Raw genomic sequence first — 26,752 nt, 5'->3', positions numbered from 1 at the left:
GCACTGGATCAATATTAAACCGTAACTACTACACTAGAGAGAGAAAATTTATTGCAAAATGTCCTGTCAGACAGTGGTTACTGATTAAAGCAAGATTTTATTGCTTGCAGAATTACCATTTGGGATTTCAAAACTCACTTGCTATGCTCAAATGAATGAATGGGCTTGTCTTGTTTTCTCCATTTTTCTCATTCACGGCCTGCACGTAGTATGCCCCGGCATCACTGGTTGTGGTGGCGAGGATCACCAGCTGATTCTCCAATGTGATGGCTCTGTTTCAGAAAAGAAGAGGACAGTGTCAAAGCTACTCCAGGGAACTTCCTACTTGTAAGACAAAATTAATTAGGCCAACTATAAAGGAATGCCTAGAGTTTAAAAGAAGAGCTGGAAGGACAAAAACAATACACAGGCCGACTTTAAGAATACGACAACGCCAGAGAGAGCCTCTTCTGATCCAGCTGGCACACTGCAGCCCCAGTGTCTGAGCCTACCGGGTGCTCCACATCTGCGCCAGCACCTGACTGTGAAGAAGACAATGTTCTGGAACATAGACATCCAGAGTTCATTAAAACTCAGAGGTTCCTCCTCTGAGAATGCATAACAAGACCAGTTAGAAGGAATCCCTTCAATTAGAAGGCTGGACCACCACAACCCTGACCCAGCGCAAGTGAATTAGTTGTGGTTTTCTCCACCTCGAGGGAGCCTCATCAGAGGCTTTGTGTATGGATATCTACACTGGTGCGTAGAAGGAAAGTCGCCAATGGGCACAGTGCTGCCCCCCTTCAACTTAACTTCTACCATCATTATTAACTCCAGGCCACGTCTTTTTCACCTGTACTATCTCACCATGTCTTAGAAGTGCAAAGGATGAGTAAACAGTCTTCTTGATCGTGACCAAGACCTTCTCATTCATCCTGATTCTACTGGGAAAGGCATCTCTGAGACTCGTTTAATGCACCTGCCCTTTCTCTGCGCCACTGAGGCTCACAGAAGTTAAGTTGCTTGTCTTAGGTAACACAGCAACTTAACAGCAGAGAAGGGAGAAGGTGTTTTCACAGGCAGATTAATACTCATCCAATCATACCATAGAAAGACTCTCATTATACTACTTAATTTTTAAAAAAGAATAAAAACAAGAAAGACACAACTTCCATTCATCCAAGGAACTTTTATTTGAAATGGGTGTTTTATGGGATCCTTCACTTATAATTCCGTATTCTTTTTGCCAGTTAAAGAGGTGGATGAGGGTGGTAAAATTTGTTTAAAAAAGTATGGGCTGAGCGCAGTGGCTCACATCTGTGATCCCAGCACTTTGGGAGGGCGAGGTGGACAGATTGTGACGTCAAGAGATCGAGACCATCCTGGCCAACATGGTGAAACCTCATCTCTACTGAAAATACAAAAATTAGTTCGGCGTGGTGGCACACGCCTGTAGTCCCAGCTACTACAGAGGCCGAGGCAGAACAATCGCTTGAACCTGGGAGGCGGAGGCTGAAGTGAGCTGAGATCACGCCGCCACACCCCAGCCTGGTGACAGAGCAAGACTCTGTCTCAAAAAAGAAAGAAAAAAAATATGAATGTGAGTAAACTATTCATTGGCTGGTGAATTTGGCATAGAAGGTAAGATGCATTCTGAGCACCAAAATATCATTTAGTCTAAGCTCTTATTTCAAAAACAAGAGAAACATCTTAGGTCTCTAGAGTGAGTTGTGTTACCCACCACAATTGTGGTACTCTATAGGGAATAGTTACAGCACTTTCAGATTCAGATTATCTAAAATCTGTATTCTGGTAACATCAAAAGCATGCAAAATGAGTAATCTCTCATGAGGAATTTTAGCATTATAATAATCCTTTTTCTTCCTGCTACCTTTTGCAGAGCTTTTTCAAAAACTCTTGATTTTTACACATTATATAAAATTATCTTAAGAAGTTATTGCTTATTCAGGGTTCCCATAGGATATATTACTGTTTGAGGTCTCTATGACTTACTTCATGTCTCATTTATGAAAATTTCCCTATTAGGAAGTTTTCAATTTTTAGTCTCATAAAAATATTTCAATAGAGTTTTATTATAATTATTTATGACTCCTTTATAGATTCTTTTATAGAACCATAGAAATTGTTCCATTTTATTTTAGTATATGTTACACTGGCAGCTAAAATTAAATATGAATATTTACTACACATGAAGTTACACATTTAATAGTACAATTTAAAAACTGAATATATAACTTTTTCTTTGACATCTGATTTTTACCATAGTAATTTCAAATATGCCTATTGTTTCTCAGAAGTATCCTTATAAAATATCCATGAATTCTCGATATTATTTACGGCATTATTTCAAGAGTATTGAAAATAAAAAGGTACATAAAGATAAAAATATTAAAGTTTCCATCTATTATAACTTTTATCTTTAAGCTTATCTTTTTCTTTTAGTTTTTAATTTCTATAAAGGTTTAAGCCAAAATTCATGAAAAAAAAAAAACTGCTGCTGCCAAAAAGACACCATGAAAATGCTACATCTTTGGAGATCATGAAGATTAATTTCCCAGAAACCAAGTCTTTGTTCCTATCCAAATCTTTCTGAACAGAGCATTTCTACAAGAGACTGACTTTTTAAATGAAAATAAAACATCCAAAACCATTCATCTTAATTTTAAATTCTGGTAACTGCTGTAAACCTTAAGAAGAAAACCATATTTAAAGACACTAAAGCAAGTATCGTGTGCCCATCCTGTCTTCTTTCTTAGCGGCCCTGATTTTGTCGTGGCAACCATGCCTTCCCCCTGCAATCCAGCCATGCAACACAAGAGAGCTGGCCCCATTCCCAGCATCAGGTGTGGGTCTTGATCATTTTGTCCAACGTGTTCATGGTGGTGATTTTATGGCCATGATAGAAATGACCTTCACATGAAGCTGATAATTGTGGCAGCAGAATAGAGAGAACGGAAAGCACTTGGGTCCTTCATTATCTCATAGAGCCAATGAACCAACCATCCAGCAGCCTGTCCTGTCTGGGGACTTCCTGGTTCATGAGCTCAGATACTTCCTGTTGAACCGTGATAAGTTAGGGCTGCTGTCACTAGAAATCAAAACACTCCAATACAGATTCACAACAGCACATGCGATGACATCTTTTTTGGATTTAAGGGTTCTATGCACTGCAAATAAGTCCTATGTATCTGTTTCTACATATGTGTGTACACATAAAAGGTTAACAGTGGTTAGTCTGAGTGGTACAATTACAGGCCATTTCCTTTTGATTCTACCTTTTAAAATATTTTCCAGTTTTTCCACAATAAATATCACTTTTGCTATCAGAAGGTAATGAAAAGAACACAGGGGCATGCTGAGTAATTATGGTAGCAAAGTTGAATACTTTGCCCATAATATGAATTACCTGGCCTTATTATAACATAGCTCCAGATGACACATTTAAAACTTACACTGACTTCATAGAAAAATTACAATATTTGGCCTGAGAGATTTTCCTTTAACTTTATTGAAACAAATGTATGTGTGGCTTTAAATAAAATTACTTCCTTAGTCTTCCCCCATCTTTGTACATTTAAAAATGAAACCTCATCATTTTAACTCCCAATTCCATGGGATAGTAGTAAAGAGAAGAGGAACAAAAATAACTGAGTACAATATGGATGAGATGAGCTGCCGCTCGGGAGAAGACACTGCTACATCATAAAGAACAAGCTAACCGGTCCTGAGGTACGAATTATAAGCACAGGAAGGGTTTTCACAAGAGAGAAATCAATCTGTTGCTTTTCATTGCTGAGACTGATGAGCAAAGTATCTGTGCAGTTCAGTAAAGGAAGACCATTTCCAGTGAGCACTCGCTAAGTGCTTCTGGCCATTCTTCACTTGATTCTCCAACACTCTCCTGAGGTGCTAGGCAAAATCATAGTTCTCTATTTCAGAAAAGATGAAATCCGAGGAAGAGAGTAGCTAGCTGGGTCTCTGACCACCTGCATTGAGATGATGGCTAGACCCACCCCTTGGGCATGGGGGAGGGAGGGCCACCTTGCTAGGCATCGACTGGGAAGCTCCCTGCTATGTTTGCATGGCCAGGGGTTGTGGCCTTCCCCAGACCACACCAGATCAGCTGCCTTCAGGGATGTGATACTGACGTCGGAATCCTGGAAGCACAGGATTTATGGTTGGTGAAAACAGCCCACTGGGCACTGCATAGGTGCCTGAAGACCAGGAAGGAAGAGTAAGAGTATACATTCACCCTGATCACCACTGGAGCAGAATCAAGTAACTGTTTCACTATTTAATCAGCAACTATTGGAAATCCCACTCCCTGCTCAGAGTGGAGGAGACACTAACCTGAACCAGGACACACTGTTCATGTCCCATAGAGCTTCGATTGGGTGTACTTACAAGCTGTAAGAAGTAACAGGGGGCACTTTAACAACTTTCCCTTAAGAGTATCTATGGACCCAAGGGGAAGAGTTCCAGGAGGTGTCCAGAAATATTTTCATGATGTGAACATTTTCATGATGAGCTCCCAAAACTTGCACTGTAACCCATCCGTTGGCTTCCATGAAAATATAAATTGTCTTTGGTTATCAATAAGTATTTTGCTCTTTAACACTTACCACAAACTAGGGTGGTAATATCCACATCAATTTATACATTATGATGAAAATTCAGTAAAATGTTTAGTAAAATAATAACTTTGCCCATTAAACATAGAAGCATAATTTGAGTCTATAGTTTTACCACTACGAACTTTAAAGTAACATTTGACTAGTTTCAATTGACCTTCAAGTACATTAACAGAAGGTCAGCGTGCAGGAAGATGCAGAATATTAGTTTGTAAAATCTTAAAAAAAAAAACCACTTCAAAATATTCTCCATTTTAATTAAGCAACTTTTAAAAGGGTTGATTCCAAGGCTTAGTGTTCTGAGTATAATCTGGATCTCATGCCTCACAATTTAAGCAAGTTCAAGGCAGACAACTTAGAAACTGATGAACTTTCCTTAGCTGTACAACGACAAGAACTAAAATTGCTTTCAATTCCTCCTTGTACCTCTGGTAGAATTCGGCTGTGAATCCATCTGGTCCTGGACTCTTTTTGGTTGGTAAACTATTGATTATTGCCACAATTTCAGCTCCTGTTATTGGTCTATTCAGAGATTCAACTTCTTCCTGGTTTAGTCTTGGGAGAGTGTATGTGTCAAGGAATGTATCCATTTCTTATAGATTTTCTAGTTTATTTGCGTAGAGGTGTTTGTAGTATTCTCTGATGGTAGTTTGTATTTCTGTGGGATCGGTGGTGATATCCCCTTTATCATTTTTTATTGTGTCTATTTGATTCTTCTCTCTTTTTTTCTTTATTAGTCTTGCTAGCGGTCTATCAATTTTGTTGATCCTTTCAAAAAACCAGCTCCTGGATTCATTGAGTTTTTGAAGGGTTTTTTGTGTCTCTCTTTCCTTCAGTTCTGCTCTGATTTTAGTTAGTTCTTGCCCTCTGCTAGCTTTTGAATGTGTTTGCTCTTGCTTTTCTAGTTCTTTTAATTGTGATGTTAGGGTGTCAATTTTGGATCTTTCCTGCTTTCTCTTGTGGGCATTTAGTGCTATAAATTTCCCTCTACACACTGCTTTGAATGCATCCCAGAGATTCTGGTATGTTGTGTCTTTGTTCTCGTTGGTTTCAAAGAACATCTTTATTTCTGCCTTCATTTCGTTATGTACCCAGTAGTCATTCAGGAGCAGGTTGTTCAGTTTCCATGTAGTTGAGCGGCTTTGAGTGAGATTCTTAATCTTGAGTTCTAGTTTGATTGCACTGTGGTCTGAGAGATAGTTTGTTATAATTTCTGTTGTTTTACATTTGCTGAGGAGAGCTTTACTTCCAACTATGTGGTCAATTTTGGAATAGGTGTGGTGTGGTGCTGAAAAAAATGTATATTCTGTTGATTTGGGGTGGAGAGTTCTGTAGATGTCTATTAGGTCCGCTTGGTGCACAGCTGAGTTCAATTCCTGGGTATCCTTGGAGGAACTGGTACCATTCCTTCTGAAACTATTCCAATCAATAGAAAAAGAGGGAATCCTCCCTAACTCATTTTATGAGGCCAGCATCATTCTGATACCAAAGCCGGGCAGAGACACAACCAAAAAAGAGAATTTTAGACCAATATCCTTGATGAACATTGATGCAAAAATCCTCAATAAAATACTGGCAAACTGAATCCAGCAGCACATCAAAAAGCCTATCCACCATGATCAAGTGGGCTTCATCCCTGGGATGCAAGGCTGGTTCAATATACGCAAATCAATAAATGTAATCCAGCATAGAAACAGAGCCAAAGACAAAAACCACATGATTATCTCAATAGATGCAGAAAAAGCCTTTGACAAAATTCAACAACCCTTCATGCTAAAAACTCTCAATAAATTAGGTATTGATGGGACGTATTTCAAAATAATAAGAGCTATCTATGACAAACCCACAGCCAATATCATACTGAATGGGCAAAAACTGGAAGCATTCCCTTTGAAAACTGGCACAAGACAGGGATGCCCTCTCTCACCACTCCTATTCAACATAGTGTTGGAAGTTCTGGCCAGGGCAATTAGGCAGGAGAAGGAAATAAAGGGTATTCAATTAGGAAAAGAGGAAGTCAAATTGTCCCTGTTTGCAGACGACATGATTGTATATCTAGAAAACCCCATTGTCTCAGCCCAAAATCTCCTTAAGCTGATAAGCAACTTCAGCAAAGTCTCAGGATACAAAATCGATGTACAAAAATCACAAGCATTCTTACACACCAACAACATACAAACAGAGAGCCAAATCATGAGTGAACTCCCATTCACAATTGCTTCAAAGAGAATAAAATACCTAGGAATCCACCTTACAAGGGATGTGAAGGACCTCTTCAAGGAGAACTACAAACCACTGCTCAAGGAAATAAAAGAGGATACAAACAAATGGAAGAACATTCCATGCTCATGGGTAGGAAGAATCAATATCGTGAAAATGGCCATACTGCCCAAGGTAATTTACAGATTCAATGCCATCCCAATCAAGCTACCAATGACTTTCTTCACAGAATTGGAAAAAACTACTTTAAAGTTCATGTGGAACCAAAAAAGAGCCCGCATCACCAAGTCAATCCTAAGCCAAAAGAACAAAGCTGGAGGCATCACACTACCTGACTTCAAACTATACTACAAGGCTACAGTAACCAAAACAGCATGGTACCGGTACCAAAACAGAGATACAGATCAACGGAACAGAACAGAGCCCTCAGAAATAACGCCGCATACCTACAACTATCTGATCTTTGACAAACCTGAGAAAAACAAGCAATGGGGAAAGGATTCCCTATTTAATAAATGGTGCTGGGAAAACTGGCTAGCCATATGTAGAAAGCTGAAACTGGATCCCTTCCTTACACCTTATACAAAAATCAATTCAAGATGGATTAAAGATTTAAACATTAGACCTAAAACCATAAAAACCCTAGAAGATAACCTAGGCATTACCATTCAGGACATAGGCATGGGCAAGGACTTTATGTCCAAAACAGCAAAAGCAATGGCAACAAAAGCCAAAATTGACAAATGGGATCTAATTAAACTAAAGAGCTTCTGCACAGCAAAAGAAACTACCATCAGAGTGAACAGGCAACCTACAACATGGGAGAAAATTTTCGCAACCTACTCATCTGACAAAGGGCTAATATCCAGAATCTACAATGAACTCAAACAAATTTACAAGAAAAAAACAAACAACCCCATCAAAAAGTGGGAGAAGGACATGAACAGACACTTCTCAAAAGAAGACATTTATGCAGCCAAAAAACACATGAAAAAATGCTCATCATCACTGGCCATCAGAGAAATGCAAATCAAAACCACTATGAGATATCATCTCACACCAGTTAGAATGGCAATCATTAAAAAGTCAGGAAACAACAGGTGCTGGAGAGGATGTGGAGAAATAGGAACACTTTTACACTGTTGGTGGGACTGTAAACTAGTTCAACCATTGTGGAAGTCAGTGTGGCGATTCCTCGGGGATCTAGAACTAGAAATACCATTTGACCCAGCCATCCCATTACTGGGTATATACCCAAATGACTATAAAGCATGCTGCTGTAAAGACACATGCACATGTATGTTTACTGCGGCATTATTCACAATAGCAAAGACTTGGAACCAACCCAAATGTCCAACAATGATAGACTGGATTAAGAAAATGTGGCACATATACACCATGGAATACTATGCAGCCATAAAAAATGATGAGTTCATGTCCTTTGTAGGGACATGGATGAAATTGGAAATCATCATTCTCAGTAAACTATCGCAAGAACAAAAAACCAAACACCGCCTATTCTCACTCATAGGTGGGAAATGAACAATGAGAACACATGGACACAGGAAGGGGAATATCACACTCTGGGGACTGTGGTGGGGTGGGGGGAGGGGGGAGGGATAGCATTGGGAGATATACCTAATGCTAGATGACGAGTTAGTGGGTGCAGCGCACCAGCATGGCACATGTATACATATGTAACTAACCTGCACAATGTGCACATGTACCCTAAAACTTAAAGTATAATAAAAATAAATAAATAAATAAATAAAAATAAAATTGCTTTCAAGTAGTTTTGGCACTAATGAGTCCCTGAATGCTCAGTACATGTTAAGTCGCCAGAGTGATATGTTTATTCCATCAAGAGCAAACACTTGCTGCTGACCATTTGCTCTGGGTGTAAGAAAAACATCTTAAAAGCAAAAGAAGAAAGAATTTGGGAAACCTGTTTCTCGTGATTTCAAACCAACAGAAACCACTAGCTGAGTTGTGTTCATTAATGGAATGCATGAATCCCTAGCACAGACCAAGAAGTCCTGGGCAAATGGGATTGCAGCTCAGCACAACTGCATTCAGGCAGGCAGGCTTGCTCAGAGGAGAAAGCCATTAAACTTCAGAACTGTGATTCTTCAGGAAAGGGTAAGTTATACTTCTGCAGTAGGAGAAAGACCAAAAGATGACCAGAGAGGGAAGAAACTAGAGGCAGGAAAAGACCAGTCAAGCCTCCACCAGTTTAGTTACCATAATGGCCCATGCCTTGAAAAACATTTCAAGTTAGTCTACGCGGGCATCCTTTTCTAGGAGAGTCATTGTTAATCTCATAATGGCAAGTATATGGAAAAATTCCATTGAATTTATGTGAATTCACCTTCTATCCAACTCTTCTATATTGACTGTCTCTCAACTCTTAAATATAGACCCAAGCGGTGGTAAGTTGCAGGGTGGAATTTCTAAAATGGTAACTCCTTTAAAATCCTTTGGATTTGAAATACGTTCAGATACACCTTTGTTTTCCCTGCACACAAGGATCCTCCAGTATTTAATCACAGAGCCAAACAGTGTGTAGTCGATAAATGTGTGTTAAATTAATGAAGAAAAAGAAGGGAATCTCTAAGTATTTGTATTTGCATTTTTACTCTGACTATTCCTTTCTGAGCTTGCACATTCAGGCACCTGGAACCCAAGCAAATACAGGAGTAATTTAACCATTTTCTAAATATCTTTGCAGTGCCTACTGTGTGTGTTAACACTGTCCAGGGAAGACATACTGGAAAATATGGTTGTTGAACACAAGGGGATATCTTACTGGCAAGAGCTGCAAAGGCATAAAAAGATAAATGATGGCAGTATGAAGTGTGTGAAGCCAGTCTGTTCATTTTACAGAGTTTTAGAGGAAAAGTAGATACGCCACACAGGCAGCAAAGTCACCACAAAGCACGCAGGTCCAACCACATCTGTTTCCCTAGTGATAGCTTTTGAAAGTGTAAAAATCTGATGGGATATCACATTAGCAAGACAGACCCAGTTCTCTAGCCTACAAGGTATTAATAACTCAGGAACAGAATGGCTGCTTCTGCAGGTGGCGTGGGAGGAAATGCCATCCCTGCTGACCATCTACCCACGTGCCTTCCACCGGAGCTCTGGCCGGGGGCTTCTGCACGGCCAGGCAGCACATCCAACTCCCTCCTGAACTGCGGGGCTGGCCTGGGGCTCCCTGACTACTCCCAGCACCATGGCCAACAGCAGCAGCAGAGAGGGGCTTTGGTGGGTGGTCAGAAAAGAGGCACAGAGGGACATCTGCCTGGGTGCATATTGTCGGTCTCTGAATTAAAGCCCAAAGAAGATGTGAGCTCAGAGCTCTTGCATCTTCTCCCAACCAAGCTCCCTGAGTTTCCTGGAACCAGAAGTAGTGTCGAACCTGACTTAAAGTTAAAATCTAATGTGGTCTGCAGAGAAGACACCTCACTTTTCTACCAGAACAAGATGATCACAGTTGACAGGAAGTAACACCATCAATGACACCATGATATTCTGTCTTAATATAGAGAGGCCCTTAACGCGATCAGGCAACTGTGACCTGGGTGGGGCAAGAGAAGTGGAACTGGATCTGGCCCCGATTTTACTCCCACAGGCTCATCACTTGGCTTTCTCATCTGTAAAATGGGGATAACAATTCTGACATCAAAAGGACACTGATGAAGTGCAAATCGGTAGTGAGGTGAATGAGGCTGGCTCAGAAGCTACAAATTCCATGTACGCTAAGTCTGAATCTGGTTCATCAGGTGTAGAATGTGACTGGCAAGTAAGAAAACAGTAAATGTCATCTACTGTCCTCTTCTAGGGGCTAAATATCAAATACTTCCTAGAGTTTTAGTTAATAGGCTTCTGTAAAAACACAGCTCGGTCACTGAATTATCACATTAGAGTCATAAAATGACCAGAAGCCTCTATTACCTAAAACAAAGCCCATCTGCTCAAGAGCGTACATGTAATAATTTAGCAAAGAGGCCTAGAAACAACTTGTCTTCGGATACTTCCACCCAGATGCCACGAACGTTAAAATCCACTTTACAAGACTTTAGTGCTGGAAAATCCCTGGCCTTTTCTCCACATGTGTTTATGTGTCATAAATAGAATTGATTCTTTTCCTTTAGGAAAGATGCTGTCTAGTAGGAGGGACAGAAAAGAAATGAAGAGATTATAGGGTAACTGTTGATGTAACTAGTGAAGGATTTATTTCATCAGGGATTTTTGCCCAGAATAAATATATTTTTTATTTATAGCAATGTTTCTTAAATTTCCTTGCTAATCTTCAAAAGCACTTCAGTCAATTTGTACTTATCCAGGGGCCTTTTGTTATTTTAACTAATTGTTTCAGCACTAGGTACAAATAAATGGCTATGCCAAATTCCTGGTGTGGTCATATGCAGAGGAACGGCATGAAGGAGGAGTTTTTACAGAGCCCAGGTTTAGGCAGAAACATTTCCAGCCAAGACTTTTTCTGCTAAAATAAAAATTCCAGGAAAAAAAAAAGAAACATGATTTAAACAAAATGTGCGGAATACATGTTTTCAGTCTTTAGATCCTTAAACAGTGGAACTTCCCAAGAGTGTAAAATCCAGTCAAATTGGAAACCATGAAAAGTGAGGACAGAAAGGCGTCTAAAAAGTAGATGAGGACCAACTAAAACTGCTCCAGATATGGGGGGGCTCCTCATGAAGAATCCTCCTCTCCCCAGGATACTCTGCAAACAGCAGTCAATTCTGAAATCAGCTCAGTTTATATAGCAAGAGAATAAAACACAATAAATAATTCCATCAAAAATTAAATAAATATGGCCATGGCTAAGCAAGACACAGCAGATACAAGAATATTCCTGGGAGGACTGTGCATGGCTGTCGGTGTCCGCACCTGCAGCCTCTGCAGAGAAGCGTTGGCCCAGCCATTCTTACTTCGTGAGCTGAGTTGGGGAAGCCTGGGGCTGGTAATTCTCGATTCCTGACAAGTCAAATGCTTTCTGTGTCTCACTTTCTGCGGAACGAGGCACTCAGGATTCCTTCTTCCCTTGTGCAGATAAAGGCGCACCAGGCAGAGGACTTGACCCTCGCTCCACGTGATGCTGCCCGCAGAGGATTATGTCTTCGTGGCTGGACCAAGCATACGCAGCAGCCGCTAGGAAGCAGAGGGCTCTTCTTTAAAAGCAAATAATAGCAGAGGAATACTAGAAAATTATGAGCAGAGTGAACTGCTTTTTGAAATGCTTTCCATCACCTTTCCAGTCTGTCACCACATTTGTTCCTCTTTGAAGGAGCATAATTTTGACCAAAGGGTTCCACTCTCGTGTTAAGACTCTTTTCGATTGCCGAGTGACAAAGCTGTGCCCAGCAGAGACGGGAGCACCTGCGATGGCTAAGGCAGACTCACAGCACCTCGAGCACAGCTGATCTCAGGGATACGGTCTGGATCTGTGTTCCATCCAAATCTCATGTTGAACTGTAATTCCTAGTATGGGAGGTGGGGCCTGGTGGGAGGTGACTGGATCAGAGTCTTGAGGGTGGATTTCTCATGAATATTTAGCACCATCCTCTTGGTGCTGTCCTCACGATAGTGACTTCTTGTGAGATCTGGCTGTTTAAAAGTGTGTGGCACCTCCCCCTTCTCTCGTTCCCTCTTGCTCCTGCTCTCGCCATGTAGCGCGCCTCCTCCCCCTTTGCCTTCTGCCATGATTAGAAGCTTCCTGAGGCCTCCCCAGGTGCAGATGCCACCATGCTTCCTGTACAGCCTGCAGATCTACGAGCCAATTCAACCCTTTTTCTTTATAAATTACCCCGTCTTGGGTATTCTCTTATAACAATGCAAGAACAGCCTAATAACCCTTGGTGATGCTGGATCCTCAGTGCACGACTCAAAACACAGGCTCCCCTAACTACAGGGATAGATCATGCTCACGCACAAACACCATCAACAATGAAGATGAAAATAAATCAATATGAAAATCCAATTTTTAATGATTTTTTTTTCTTTCTGAACGCTACTACGATAGGTATGGCATTTGTGTGTAAACAACATCTGTTGGGTTCTTTGCTTTATCAGACAGCCCGCCAGTGCCATCACTCTCTGTGACGATGGACACTGTTCTGGAAAACAAGTACAGGGAAATGGTCAAACAGCCATCAGGTAGAAACTGATGTATCAAACAGCCATCAGGTGGAAACTGATTTATCAACAAGGCTGGGAGCTCTTTAAAATCCTGGTCCCCTAAACTGAGCTTTCAGGAGGGCTTACTGCACCCTTGGTTAACTGTGACACACATGTCTCTTCTGCCTCACGGTGCAGGTCGGGCTGGGATTGAGGCCTTGCATTATTTACACCTGTGCTGGGAATTATTCAGAAGTTGCCAGTAAGCAAATCCCACTGAACCATTAGCCACAGTTGGGAGACAGACACTGGCATCCTTTCAGCATTCTGAGATTTTTCTGTGTAGGATTTCAGAGGGAGTGAACCTGCTGGCTTTGGACATACCTCCCTAGGGACCGACCCTCCATCTGCTCCTCACTCAACCACCACCTGGAGTTGTTTGTCACTTCTCAGAAGGGGCACCATGCTCCCCGTCAACTCTTCTTCTCTACAAAGCTTCTGCTCTGCCCTCCTCGCCGTCATGATGAGGAGGGCACGTTCCACGGGCCTGGCAACTGCTGTGTGCTCTGCATGCATCTCACCTAGCCCTCACGGTCATCCCACAGGGATTCAAATTCCCTTGCAGCAACCAGGGGTTAACATCAAGGTTTGGATCCAGAGATGACTGCATGGGAGTCCCTTCTCTGACACTTCCTAGCTGGTGACGCTTTGACAACGGGCCAGATGCTTGACTGACAGCACCAATGCGCAGGTCAGATGGGGATAATAATTGTATCCATCCCTTAGTGTTGGCAGGAGAATTAAACGAGATATTAAAAGGTGATTGGTACATACAGTTGGCATACACTTAAAACTCAGAAATGCTTAGCTGCTGTTATTATCTCCATGTTACAGAAAGGAAGCAGAGGCTACCAGAGGTCAAATAATTTTGCCAAAGAACATGAACAATCAAGACTCTAACCCAGCCTCCCAGCCTGTGCCCATCCCAAATGTATTCTCTCATCAAGTCCTTTAATGGTTGTCTCTGTCATCTCCCTGGCCCCAGACCCAGTGAGACAACATGCCAGGGAGAGGAATCTGTGCAAACCTTTGTTGTGAGGTTAACAGTTCTGCACCTTGGCCCACTCTCTCTGTTTCTCTCTGTGTGCCTGTCTTCGTGTGTCTTTGTCTGTCTCTGTCTCCCCCTTTCTATAGGTCTCCAATCAGATACCCCCACTGGCTAAGAAAGGCCTGGCCTATGGTAGAGGGGATCACAAAACTGGTGACGAAATGCAGGGGTAGATTTTCTGAATCTTTGGGCTTGAGGCAGCCCCTGGCATTACCATCTACCGGGAGCGCGACTATACCACAGCATGCTGGGTCTCAAGAGGGAGCCCCCACACCACCCGAGTTATGTGTGTCAGCGTTAAGCACTTCCCCTTCCTATCCTGATAGAACCCTCCTAGGCAGGCCTTCTTGGCCTTCTTTGGGACTGTTCTGGAGGTTACCTTCTCCACTAGGCAGCTGTCAGTCCCGCTAATAAGAGGCAGAGCTATGAGCCCTGGGTTCCGTCCATGAAGACTAATGAAAGCAGTTTCCTTTGGGGATGGGGTAGATTTTTTTTTCTCAAAAGGTAAGAACTTTGGACTTTCCCAGGTAAGGCTTTATAAATTCCTTTTTATTTAACATTAGGATATATCTAAAATGAGAAAATAAGATGACAACTTCAGATTTGCCTGGGTGAAATACAGCTATCGATAACTCAAAAAGGGCCGTTTTGAGAAAGTCTGAGTAAATTGAAAACATTATTAACCACAACAATACACACGTAAGATACAGGCAGGAAGCAAATTTAGGTAATATCACTCTTAGTTCCCAGACAACCCCACACAAAAATAAAAACGGGAAAAAACTGGATAAAAATAGAAAAAGGGGCAGCAGCTACTTTTCCCGTCTCCACCACCTGCCAGTTAATGATTGTGCAGTTCATTTCCATGACAAACACAACACAATAACATAAAACGTAATTGCTCCATTCATCTCCTCAGAGAACTGCAACGTGGTTTCATAGGTTGTGATGTATTTGTTCTTAGTCCTCGTCACATTTCTCCACAGGCGTTTTAGGTTTGCCACAAGCAGTATGTAACTGGTGCAAAATGATTCAAATGAACAGGTGTGAAGTTCTGCAAAGGACCAAAGGCCACAGAAAATTCTTCGCTAGGGTCTATAAAGGTAACGGTCTCTGCTGGGTGGAGAAGGCAGGGAAGGGTGAGCATCACAGAGCTCTGGGGCCCAACTCTTTAGCCGTCTGTTGGGTCACATGAGCCTTCTCGTGGTGGGCCGAATAAGGGCCCCCAAGGACATCCACGTCCTAATGTGGACATCCACATCCTAATGTGGACATCCACATCCTAATGTGGACATCCACATCCTAATGTGGACATCCACATCCTAATGTGGACATCCACATCCTAGAGATACGTTACCTCACATGGGAAAGGGACTTTGCAGATATGGTGAGGTTAAGGATCTAAAGATGGGAAGATTGTCTTGGATTATTTGGGTGAGTCCATGTGAGACAAAGTCCCAGCAGTGAGAGAGAAGTCAGAAGAGTCACTGGCAGAGGAGAAAGTTTACGCTGCTGACTTTGAAGATGGTGGGAGGGCTACAAGCCAAGCATTTGCAGTCTTTCCTTGTCTTTGACCTCAGGGCATTATCATGCAGTTTGTGGTAGCAACAGAGATCTATAGGAGGAGGAACACCTTGAAAATTCACACTGAGGAGAGAAGCACGAAAACTAGAATAGCTCTGTAAAGGAAGAAGAGGGGGCAAAGGAGCCAGGCCAGCTACAAGGAGGTGACTTGGAAGGAGAAAAAGGGTTTAAAGAGAAGTGTTTTGGTTCTCCATTAATTTGGTCATTCTTTGACAGATCACTAATGATCTGAATTGCCTTGACAATATTTCTTTTTTGGATACACTGGATGATGTTTTTCTTGTTTTGGTTTGGCCACCAAGCAAAGACTAGCACTAGATGTGTTTCATACATTTGTTCACTAATTCACTTACTCTTCTGACAAACAATTATTGAGCACTTACTGGGGAATTTACTAATATATAAGAGACTATCAAGGCTCTATAAGTCTACAGTCTACAGTCTCCACTGGGGGAACTGCTATGGTCTCAAAATACCATTTGCCACAAAAAAGAACCAGTACATTTTAGAGAAATGGTTAATTATAGGTCAGGGCAGAAAAAGTACAAGAGGAACCCAGAACATCTTATACCATATAGCAAGAAAGCAAAGACTACGTCATGTCACAAGAACTCAAGAATCAACCTGAAGAGGCTCCCGCTACCCAAGAAAGGGGCAATTTGAGCATCAATACAAAGGCATTCAAGTCAGAAAGGAAAAAGTGAACTGCCTCTATTTGCAGATGACGTGGTCTACACAGGAAATACCAAGGAATCTACAAAGCAACAGTAACAACAACACTCACTGAAGTAATAAATAAGTTCAGCAAGGGTTTCAGAATACAAGATACACATACAAAAAACAACTGTATTTTTTAGTAGCATAAAATATAGCACAAATTTCTTTTTAATGGACGAATAAAAATTGTATGTACTTATGGTGTCCAACATGATATATGAGTACCTTGTGAAATGGTGAAATCAAACTAATTAACCATACATTACCTCATGTATTTTTTTTCTTTTTGTGGTAAGAACATTTAAAATCTACTCTCTTAGTAACTTTCAAGTATGCACTCTGTTGTTAACTATAGTCACCATGCCGTTTAATAGATCTCCTGAACTTATTCCTTCTAACTAAAATTTTGTGTCCTTCGACCAATATCTCACCAATCCTTCCACCCCCAATTGTATTTCTCTATAATAGCAATGAACACGTGAAAGCCAAAATTAAAATATAACGCCACTGACAATCACTCAACAGAAATAGGTGAGAACCTAGCAAATACGTACAGAACTTGTATGCTGAAAACTACAAAAATACTAAAGAAAGAAATCAAAGTTCTACACAAATGGAGAGTGATAAAGAGTTCATGGATTGGAAAACACAACAAAGTAAAGATACTGGTTTTGTCCGAACAGGCCTACGTGTTTAATGTGATTCCTTCAAAATCTCAGCAAGATTTTCCTATAGAGAAAATATTCTAAAAATAATATGTAAAGGCAGAAGAATTAGAATAGCAAAAACAATTTTGAAAAAGAAGCAAAAAGTGGGAGGAATAAGTCTACCAGATATACAGCTATATCCAGTGTGGTATTGGCAAAGGAAAAGACAAATAGGCCAATGGGGCAAAATAAAGAACTCAGAAAGAGACCCGTAACAGTAGGGCCAAAAGATTTTTTACAAAGGGCAAAAACCAATCTGTGAAGGAAGGGAAGTCTTTTTAACAATGGTACCAAAGCAACTGGAGATTCTTAAGAAAAAAGAAAACTGACCTCAGCCAAACCCTCATATAACTGAATACAAAAATAAACCCATAAAACATCATAAATATATTTGTAAAACTGTAAAATTTTTAGGAGAAGATATCAGAGAAATTGCAGAGTTCTTAGATATGACAGCAAAAGCATAATTCATGAGTTAAAAAATTCAGTCAATTGGACTTCATCAACATTAAAATGTTTTGTTCTGTGAAAGACTCTATTAAGAGGAAAATATTGCTGGGCAGGGTGGCTCATGCCTGTAATCCCAGCACTTTGGGAGGCCAAGGCAGGTGGATCACGAGGTCAGGAGATCGAGACCATCCTGGCTAACATGGTGAAACCCCGTCTCTACTAAAAATACAAAAAATTAACCAGGCGTGGTGGCGGGTGCCTGTAGTCCCAGCTACTCAGGAGGCTGAGGCAGGAGAATGGCGTGAACATGGGAGGCGGAGCTTGCAGTGAGCTGAGATCATGCCACTGCATTCCAGCCACCACTGCACTCCAGCCTGGGCAACAGGCCAGACTCTGTCTCAAAAAAAAAAAAAAAAAAAAAGAGGAAAATACCAGTTGCAAACTGGAAGAAAATATCTGCAAAACACAAATTTGATAAAGCATACATATCTAGAATATATAAAGAACTCTTAAAAGTCAACAATTAAAAAAATCCAATTAGAAAATGGGGAAAGTGTAACAGGCGCAGTGGCTCAAGCCTGTAATCTCAGCACTTTAGGAGGCTGAGGTGGGTGAGTCACTTGAGGTCAGGAGTTTGAGACCAGCCTGGTCCACATGGTGAAACCCCTTCTCTACTAAAAATACAAAAATTAATCAGGCACAGTGGCATGCCCTTGTAGTTCCAGCTACTCAGGAGGCTGAGGTGGGAGAATTGCTTGAATTTCAGAGGTGGAGGTTGCAGTGAGCCAAGATCACACCACTGCACTCCAGCCTAGGTGATAGAGTAAGACTTTGTTTCCAAAAAAAAAAAAGAAAGAAAGAAAGAAAGAAAAGAAAAGAAAAGAAAATGGGCAGAGTACAACAAGAAGCATTTGACCAAAGAGAATATGTAAACGGCAAATAAGCACATAAAAAGTGTTGAGCATCACTAGCCATTAGGGAAATGCAAATTAAAACCATGATGACCTACCCTTCCACACCTATTAAAATGGCTAATGTAAAAAAACAGTAATGCAGAGAAACTGGAGCTCTCATATGTTGCTGAGAGAATGAAAAATAGTATAGCCACAGTGGAAAATACTTTGGTAGTTTCTAAAAAGCCAAACATATACTTACATTCGACCCACCGATTATAATCCTGAACGTTCATCTCAGAGAAATGAAAATTTACATCTACGCAAAAACCTGAATAGAAATGTTCATAGCAGCTTTATTTGTAACAACCAAAACCTTGGGATGAAACAAAAACAAAAACAACAACAAATGTTCCTCAATTGGTGAAGAGTTAAACTGCTACCTCTGTTGCACAGAATCCGGCATCACAATAAAAAGAAACAAGCCATTGATACATGCAACTTGGATGGGTCTCAAGAGTATTAGGTTAAGTGGGGGGAAAAGCCAATCCCAAAAGGTCACCTAATGTAGGGTCCACTTACATAACATTCTCAAGATGAGAAAACTGTACAGATGGAAAACAGATTAGCGGCTGCCAGGTTGGGAAGCTGCCAGGGAAGGTATGACAATTACAGGGCAGCACAAGGGGGATGGATGTCTGTGGTGACAGAACAGCTCTGTAGCACTTTTTTTTTTTTTGATATAGGGTCTCATTCTGCTCCCCAGGTTGGAGTGCAACGGCATGATCATGGCTCACTGCAGCCTTGACCTCCCTGGTTCAAGTGATCCTCCCACCTCAGCCTGCTGAGTAGCTGGGACTACAGGTGCGTGCCACCATGCCTGGCTAATTTTTATTTATTTATTTTTATTTTTTTAGAAATAAGGTCTTGGTATGTTGCCCAGGCCGGTCTTGAACTTCCAGGCTCAAGTGATCCTCCTGCCTCGGCCTCCCAAAGTGCTGGGATTACAGGCGTGAGACCAGCCCAGCACTGTATTGTGGATGTAGTGGTAGTTACACACATCTGCACATGTAGTAAAATGACAAAGAACTACAAACACACATTGTACTAGTGTCAATCTCCTGGTTTTGATATTGCACTACAGTGGTATAAAATATAAACATTGGGTGAAGGGTACATGGAACTTCTCTGAATAGTTTTTGCAACCTTCTGTGAATGTATAATTAAGTACAGTTTCACAGTAAAAAGTTAAAAAGTAAAAGAGAACAGCTCTGCTGAAGAAAAGAAAAAGGAATACCCCTACTCAATCCATGAAAGCAGAAAGTCTAAACTAAAACTAACAAGCTGTTTCATCCTCCAGCTGGTCAGCAGAGAGTTCTCACTGGAGTTTTCAGGGAGACACAAATGTTGGAGTTTGAGAATCGAATCACAAAACAGGGAGAACCACATGAAGACGGAGGTGAGAAAACCCAGAAGAGAGCTCCAAGTGCAAAGGCCCTGCAATGGGACAGGCTGGGCGTGTTCCAAGGGCCAAAGGAGGCCAAGGAAGCAAGAGGAGAAGGAACCAGAGAGACAGAGATGCAAGCTGGGAGCAGCCACAGCATCTAGAACTCACCAGGCCTTGCTCAGGGTCCTTATCAATGAGAAGGACTCATCATCAATCCATCCCTCCCAGGCCCTCCTTCCTGTTTTCGTCAAACCTGATGATCTGGTTGCTCAACCCTTAGGGCTAAGGAGAGAGGACGATAGAGAGAGAGCACAATGACAATCTACAATGGTCATAAGTAAATTATATAAATGTAGCCGTAAGAACTCAGAATGCACAGCTGAGGTCAGTTAGTGAATTTTTTAAAAAAGGATTAAACATTCAGTAGACTCTAGGGTCATGAAACAGGGAATTCATGCTTTTAATTATAACCTTGCAATGACATTGGAAAGAGAATAAATTATATGCACTATGCTCCAAAGAGAAGTGAAGACATATTAGAAAAGTTTTCATTAACCCAACCACAAAGAATGGGGGAAAGGTTATATTGATGAAATATTACATTCAGCTATTTTAAAAACCCAGTTATATGAAATAGCTAATTACACAATAATGTCTCATAAATGAAATAGTGATGTGTCTTATTTAATCATCCGCATCTATGTCTTCCCTTGCTCAAAAACCATCAGGTTAGTCTGGCTAGTTTAACTGTGCTTTGGAATATACTAGGAAAATGAAAGGAATTTGCCAAAAATTTCAATTTGTTGTGCAAATGTCTGAGTTCAGGACATTTCTGTTAGGGTGGGAAGGACAAAGGGTGTAAAAACGTGTAAAAAAGAAAGTTAAAGGGTGTTCAACTAGAACCAAGAACTGTAACAAGGACAAGTCCACTAGGCCAAGACAAAAACTGGGCCAGGCTGCTGGTATACCCGGGCTTCCAATGCACCACAGTTTCTACAGGTCAATAAGCTATCTCAAAAGGTATGAAGGACTTTGGTCTTCTGATTCAGGGATTGGGTGTGTGTATATTTAGGAGTGATCCAGACGAAAAACTCTGAATCATTTGGTATGTGATGGCAGAGAAAACAGTACTTGACTTTAAAAAAATAAAAGACGGCAGCCGAGCGAGGCAGCTCACACCTGTAATCCCAGCACTTTGGGAAGCTGAGGCGGGCGGATCATGAGGTCAGGAGATCAAGACCATCCTGGTTAACCCGTCTCTAGTAAAAATACAAAAAATTAGCCGGGTGTGGTGGTGGGCACCTGTAATCCAAGCTACTTGGAAGGCTGAGGCAGGAGAATCTCTTAAACCCAGGAGGCAGAAGTTGCAGTGAGCCAAGATTGTGCCATTGCACTCCAGCCTGGGTGACAGAGTGAGACTCTGTCTCAATAAATAAATAAATAAATAAATAAATAAGTAAGTAAGTAAGTAAGTAAAAGATGGCGATTAGTGTAGCTGAGCACACATCAGTCAGGGTAGAAATGCTCACCAATGAATAATGGGAACTAAGATCCTTACATGCCATTACTCCAGTGCCAGCTGGCTAAGAATTGAGAGAACAAGGGATTAAAAATTAGGAAATGGAAGTTTTGTGTTCCCCCATAATATTAGACACACAGGCTGGAAGCTTCCTAATACAGTATGCCAGGATATGAAATGCAAATCCTGCCCAACAGAAACGTTGGAGACTGAGAGCCAAACCCACAACCCTGCTACAATCTCACCAAAAACATCTGTTTTATAAAATCACCTATACTTGAAGGTTATCACAGAACCTGCATAGTAATCTAAACAGTAACAAAGTTCTGGGAAAGGAATATTTTTCCATCTCATGGAGACAAGGACCCAAAACTTCACCCAGGAGACAAAGAAAGAAAAGCATAGAATAAATTTTAAAAAACCCCATGAACTAAGTATTCACTTTACAGTAATTTAGTCAAATTTAGACATACAAATCAAAAGCACCTAGTTCCAAATTTAGCATTTGGAGGAGCAAGTAAACTCAGGCAAGGGTAGAGAGAAGTCACGAGCCCAGTATGGCAATTTTAGGATAAACGAGGTCATTTTTTTTTTTTTTTTTTTGAGATGGAGTCTCACTCTGTCGCCCAGGCTGGAGTGCAGTGGCGCGATTTTGGCTCACTGCAAACCCCGCCTCCCAGGTTCACGCCATTCTCCTGCCTCAGCCTCCCGAGTAGCTGGGACTACAGGTGCCCGCCACCACGCCTGGCTAATTTTTTGTATTTTTTAGTAGAGACGGGGTTTCACCATGTTAGCCAGGATGGTCTCGATCTCCTGACCTCGTGATCCACCTGCCTCGGCCTCCCAAAGTGCTGGGATTACAGACGTGAGCCACTGCACCTGGCCAGGATAAACAGGGTCTAACATATTCGTATGCCTTCAACACCGAGAAGCCTAAGTGAATAACTTAGAAGGGGCCTAAATGAGTAACTGGGAAAATGGAAAGAACATGCCACAATTTGAGATAGAAGAATTACTGGATCCTAAAGATACTATTTCTTTCCAGATTCAGTTGGAAGATTTAACACAATTTCAAAGTACATACCAACTGAATGTCCTGAAAACGAAAAATAAGTATTTTGAAGTTTATAAGAAGAAACAAAAAAGTAATAAAAAGGCCCAAGATTTTTTAAAGAGGAGAAGAAACATGAGGGACTTATTCTACTGGTTATCCAATGACATTAAATCCATACAATTACAAATAATGATTGAATAATAAATAATTGAAGGCGAAGAGACAAACCTTCCTTGCAGGAGAATTCAAATTAATAAATGTAGAAGAATGAGGGGAAGAGAAAAATGACCATTAGAAATCCACAGAAACAGTTACTGCAGGCAAGATCCACTGGTGAACGCTAAAATTAGTGGGCACAACTTCAAAGAAAAGCAGAGTATGTGCATAACCTCCAAGTATCTACGCAAAATTTAATTAATTTTTTGTGGTAGTTTTAATGTGTGTCCACAAAGTCACTGACACTTCTCCTTCTAGTAGGAGGGGGCTTAACTACTCTCCCCTTGCATGTGGGCCGGGCTAAGAGACTTGCTTCTAAGAACAGAATGTGGAAAGGGAACAATACTGGCTGACACCGCCTTAGCCGAGTGACCACCCTGTCGCTGCCAGTGACAAGTCATGTTGACGCCAAGTGCCCTGAGATGATGAGTCAGCTTGATCGTGAGAAACCATCAGACAAGTCCAAATCGAGGGACGTTTTAAAAAGCAACGGGTCAGCACTCATCAAGAGTGTCAAGTTTGGCTGGGTGCAGTGGTTCACACCTGTAATCCCAGCACTTTGGGAGGCCAAGGTGGGTGGATCACAAGGTCAGGAGATCAAGACCATCATGGCTAACACGGTGAAACCCTGTCTCTACTAAAAACACAAAAAATTAGCTGGGCGTGGTGGCGGGCGCCTGTAGTCCCAGCTACTCGGGAGGCTGAGGCAGGAGAATGGTGTGAACCCAGGAGGTAGAGCTTGCAGTGAGCTGAGATCGCGCCACTGCACTCCAGCCTGGGCAAAAGAGACAGAATCTGTCTCAAAAAAAAAAAAAAAAAAAAAAAAGAGTGCCAAGGTCATGGAAGACAAGGTCACAGATTGGAGAAGTCTACAGAGACATGGTGACTAAATGCAACATGGGAGTGCAGAAAGGATCCCAGAACAGGAAAAGATAATCAGGAAAAAAAACTGGGAAAAAGGCTCTAGTAAATGGTACTGTACCAATGAAAATTTCTTAGTTTTGATGAATGGACTAGGGTCATGTAAGATGTTAACATTACAGAAATCTGTGTGAAGGGAAAACCAGAACTCTCTTGCAACTCTTTTATAAGTCTCAAGTTATTTCAACATAAAAAAGTGATTTGAATGATCTCAAAAGCAACAACAAAAAGTTGACATCTGTACAGAAAAGTGAGCTGAAAGACAGACCATAGTGGATATAAATCATTAATATATAATAAAGGAAGAGCTAGAAATCAACAGGAGAGAAACAGTTCTGAAAACATCAAGGAACCATTCACTAGCCATTTAAAAAAATTTAGATCCTTAACTCATGCCATACAGCAAAATAAAATTCCAGGGGGCTTTTCCAAAGGAAAAGAAATTGTGGAAAAACTTCATCAATTATGACATACATAGCATGGGAGATTATACATATTTAAAAGAATAAATTAGATCTATGTAAATGGGGTTCCATGATTTTTTTTAGGTATTAAGTATGAAAACATAGAGTAAAGCATATAAAATATGATCTAATTTTTTAAAACATCGGCAATAAAAACTGTGTGTGTGTGTGTGTGTGTGTGTGTGTGTGTGTGTATACACACCCCTCTTGTACATGTACATGGCTGTATAGGGCTAAATGACTATACAGAAAAATAAGAAAATATACATTAGCTTATTTATATATGTGGAGGGAAAGAGAAAAAAAGAAAAGGTGAAAGAAGCGAAAAGGGAAAACAGGAAAAGATGAACCTTTTTAAAAGGTATATATGGGACGGGTGTGGCAGCTCACACCTATAATCCCAGCACTTTGGGAGGCCGAGGCAGGAGGAATGCTTGGAGCTAGGGGTTAGAGACCCCATCTCTACGAAAATTTAAAAATTAGCCAGGTACAATGGCACACATCTGTAGTCCCAGGTACTTGTGAGACTGAGGCAGTAGGATCACTTGAGGCCAGGAGGTCAAGGCTGCAGTGAGCTATGACTGCACCACTGCACTCCAGAGCCCAGGACACAGAGCAAGACCCTGTCTCTAAAGAAAAAAAAGAAAGAAAGAAAGAAAGAAAAAGAAAAGGAAAAAAAAAGAAAATATATGATCACATTTATGTGTATCTAAAATAAAACTTAGTTAAGTATATATCTAATTGCTACATTTGAACTTACTTTCTAAATGTAAAATTTATGTAATATACTTGACTATATAACATTGATAACTTTAGTCTCTTTAAAAAACAAGAAAACTGAAAAGCCAATGGGCAAAAATGTGTACAGCAAACAACACATTCATTTAAAATTAATAATCAATACTGCATATTTGAAAAATACTCAGCCTTAATAATCAAAAGAAACAAATCAAAAACAATGAAAGCCATTTTTGTTATCAAACCTGGGGGCAGCCAAAGGAACCCAGTGCCCAGAGATGTTGGCTTGAGCCAAGGTGGTCACGAGGGAGATGGTAAGAAGTGGTTGCGCCTGGCTATGTACTGAAAGTGGAGCCAGCAGGTGGGGTCCTGGAATGGATTGTAGGCTGGGGGGGAGAGGGGCATTACTGATGAATGGGACCAGCACTGCTCTGGGCAGGGAATGTGCAGGGGTCGCCCTGCCCTTGAGGAGCTCTGCGTCCAGCAAAGGGAAGCAACAGCGAAACAGCTTCAGAGTATCATTCTGAGATCCACTGCTATGCCCTTTACCTTCCTGATTAAGAAATTCTTTTTCACAGCCAAAGAAACCTCTCCATTTCTATTTAAGCCCCTTCCATTTCCTCTGACCATCCGTGGACACGGAGGATAAATGCTTTAGCATAGCTTTCACTTATACTTAAAGACCGCATTACATTAGTCTTGCCTTTATTAACCTACACAAATTCAATTCTCCCTTTCATTTTGCAGAACTGTTTTCTATCACTTTAATCATTATTTCTTCCTCTTCAACACATCACAGGAGGCTGAACTTATGCCTGTAAGCAAATCAAGAGAGCCAAAGAAAGAGAAAGACTACACAGAATTGTCGAACTCCAGAGCAGGCTGGTTGAGCTCAAAAAACAGTCTACGATTTTTAAAGCCAAAGATTATGAATCTATTTCTTAGCACTCTCATGATGTCTGTGTGTGCATCTGATCATGAATCATTACCTTCCCAGAAACACATTTTATGAGAGCCAAAGTTTAGATTTATTGCCCTCTCTGATATTATTCTGAGCAAAATCAGTCAATTTCACAGATTTTTACTACTTGACTCGAAGTAGAATACAAATGGGTATAAACCCATTCTTGTGACTTTATCGTATAACTGTATAATATGGGAAGAACACCAAATACTTTCAGAGTTGATGCTTCAGAAAGGGCACATTTTAAGTCAGGTATCTGTCCTCAATCTAACGTGATGGGTTCTAATACATCAGTGTCACTTTTCAATTTAACATAATCTAACTCTTCACGATAAATAAGAAAGAGAATGCCAGCTGGAAGACAGGCATTTAACAGCCAGATACAGTGAGGGGTAAAAGGAAAATTTCCATGAGCGCAGCCAATCCTCCTAGCTTTGCTCTTTAAAGTCACTAAGATTCCTTTCAGAGCCCATTTCTGAAGGAGTTCAGCGCACTTTATATTTGCTTCCAGACTCTCACATGCCTTTCTCTGTAATATAAATGATCTATAAGGCCTGAATCAGACTCCTTCCAGCAATACTGCAGGAGGTGCCAGGGTGTACTGAAAGCCAAGTCTCGTGGGGCCTGCCATGCCAAGTGGCATTAATTTACAAGACACCCTATCCAACATGCCTCTAAGGGGGAAAAAAAAATCACAGCCACAGCACATGGTCCCATCTAAGTATCATGTAAAACAGACATGTCTGAGTCCTAACACATTTCGTCTAGTATGCTAGGGCAACTTGATGTGGTTAAAAGATTTTAGAGTCAGTTGTGCCACTAACCATGGACAAGCTACTTGCCCTCACTGAGGCTCTGTCACCCTATCTGAGAACAGGAAGAACGATGCCTTGCAGGACTGCTGCAAGAAATAAAGGGAGCTACATCTGCAAAGTTTCTAGCAGAGTGCCTGGCACAGAGTTCGTCCTTAATACTGTAATA

The 26,752-nt window shown here is 41.1% G+C and overlaps 1 protein-coding gene across 1 annotated transcript in view; it reads right to left on the bottom strand.

Moving 5' to 3' along the window:
- Positions 1-26,752, bottom strand: part of SDK1 (sidekick cell adhesion molecule 1) — a 967,749-nt gene that overhangs the window by 447,279 nt on the left and 493,718 nt on the right. Inside the window, exon 5 of the mRNA NM_152744.4 lies at positions 139-272. Coding sequence (NP_689957.3) covers positions 139-272 — 134 coding nt within the window. The remainder of the gene's footprint in view (positions 1-138; positions 273-26,752) is intronic.

The sequence above is a fragment of the Homo sapiens genome, chromosome 7 (assembly GCF_000001405.40).
Source record: "Homo sapiens chromosome 7, GRCh38.p14 Primary Assembly".
Classification (NCBI taxonomy): domain Eukaryota; kingdom Metazoa; phylum Chordata; class Mammalia; order Primates; family Hominidae; genus Homo; species Homo sapiens.
Note: the sequence above shows the minus strand (reverse complement) of the source record. Positions and strands in the feature narration are given on the sequence as shown.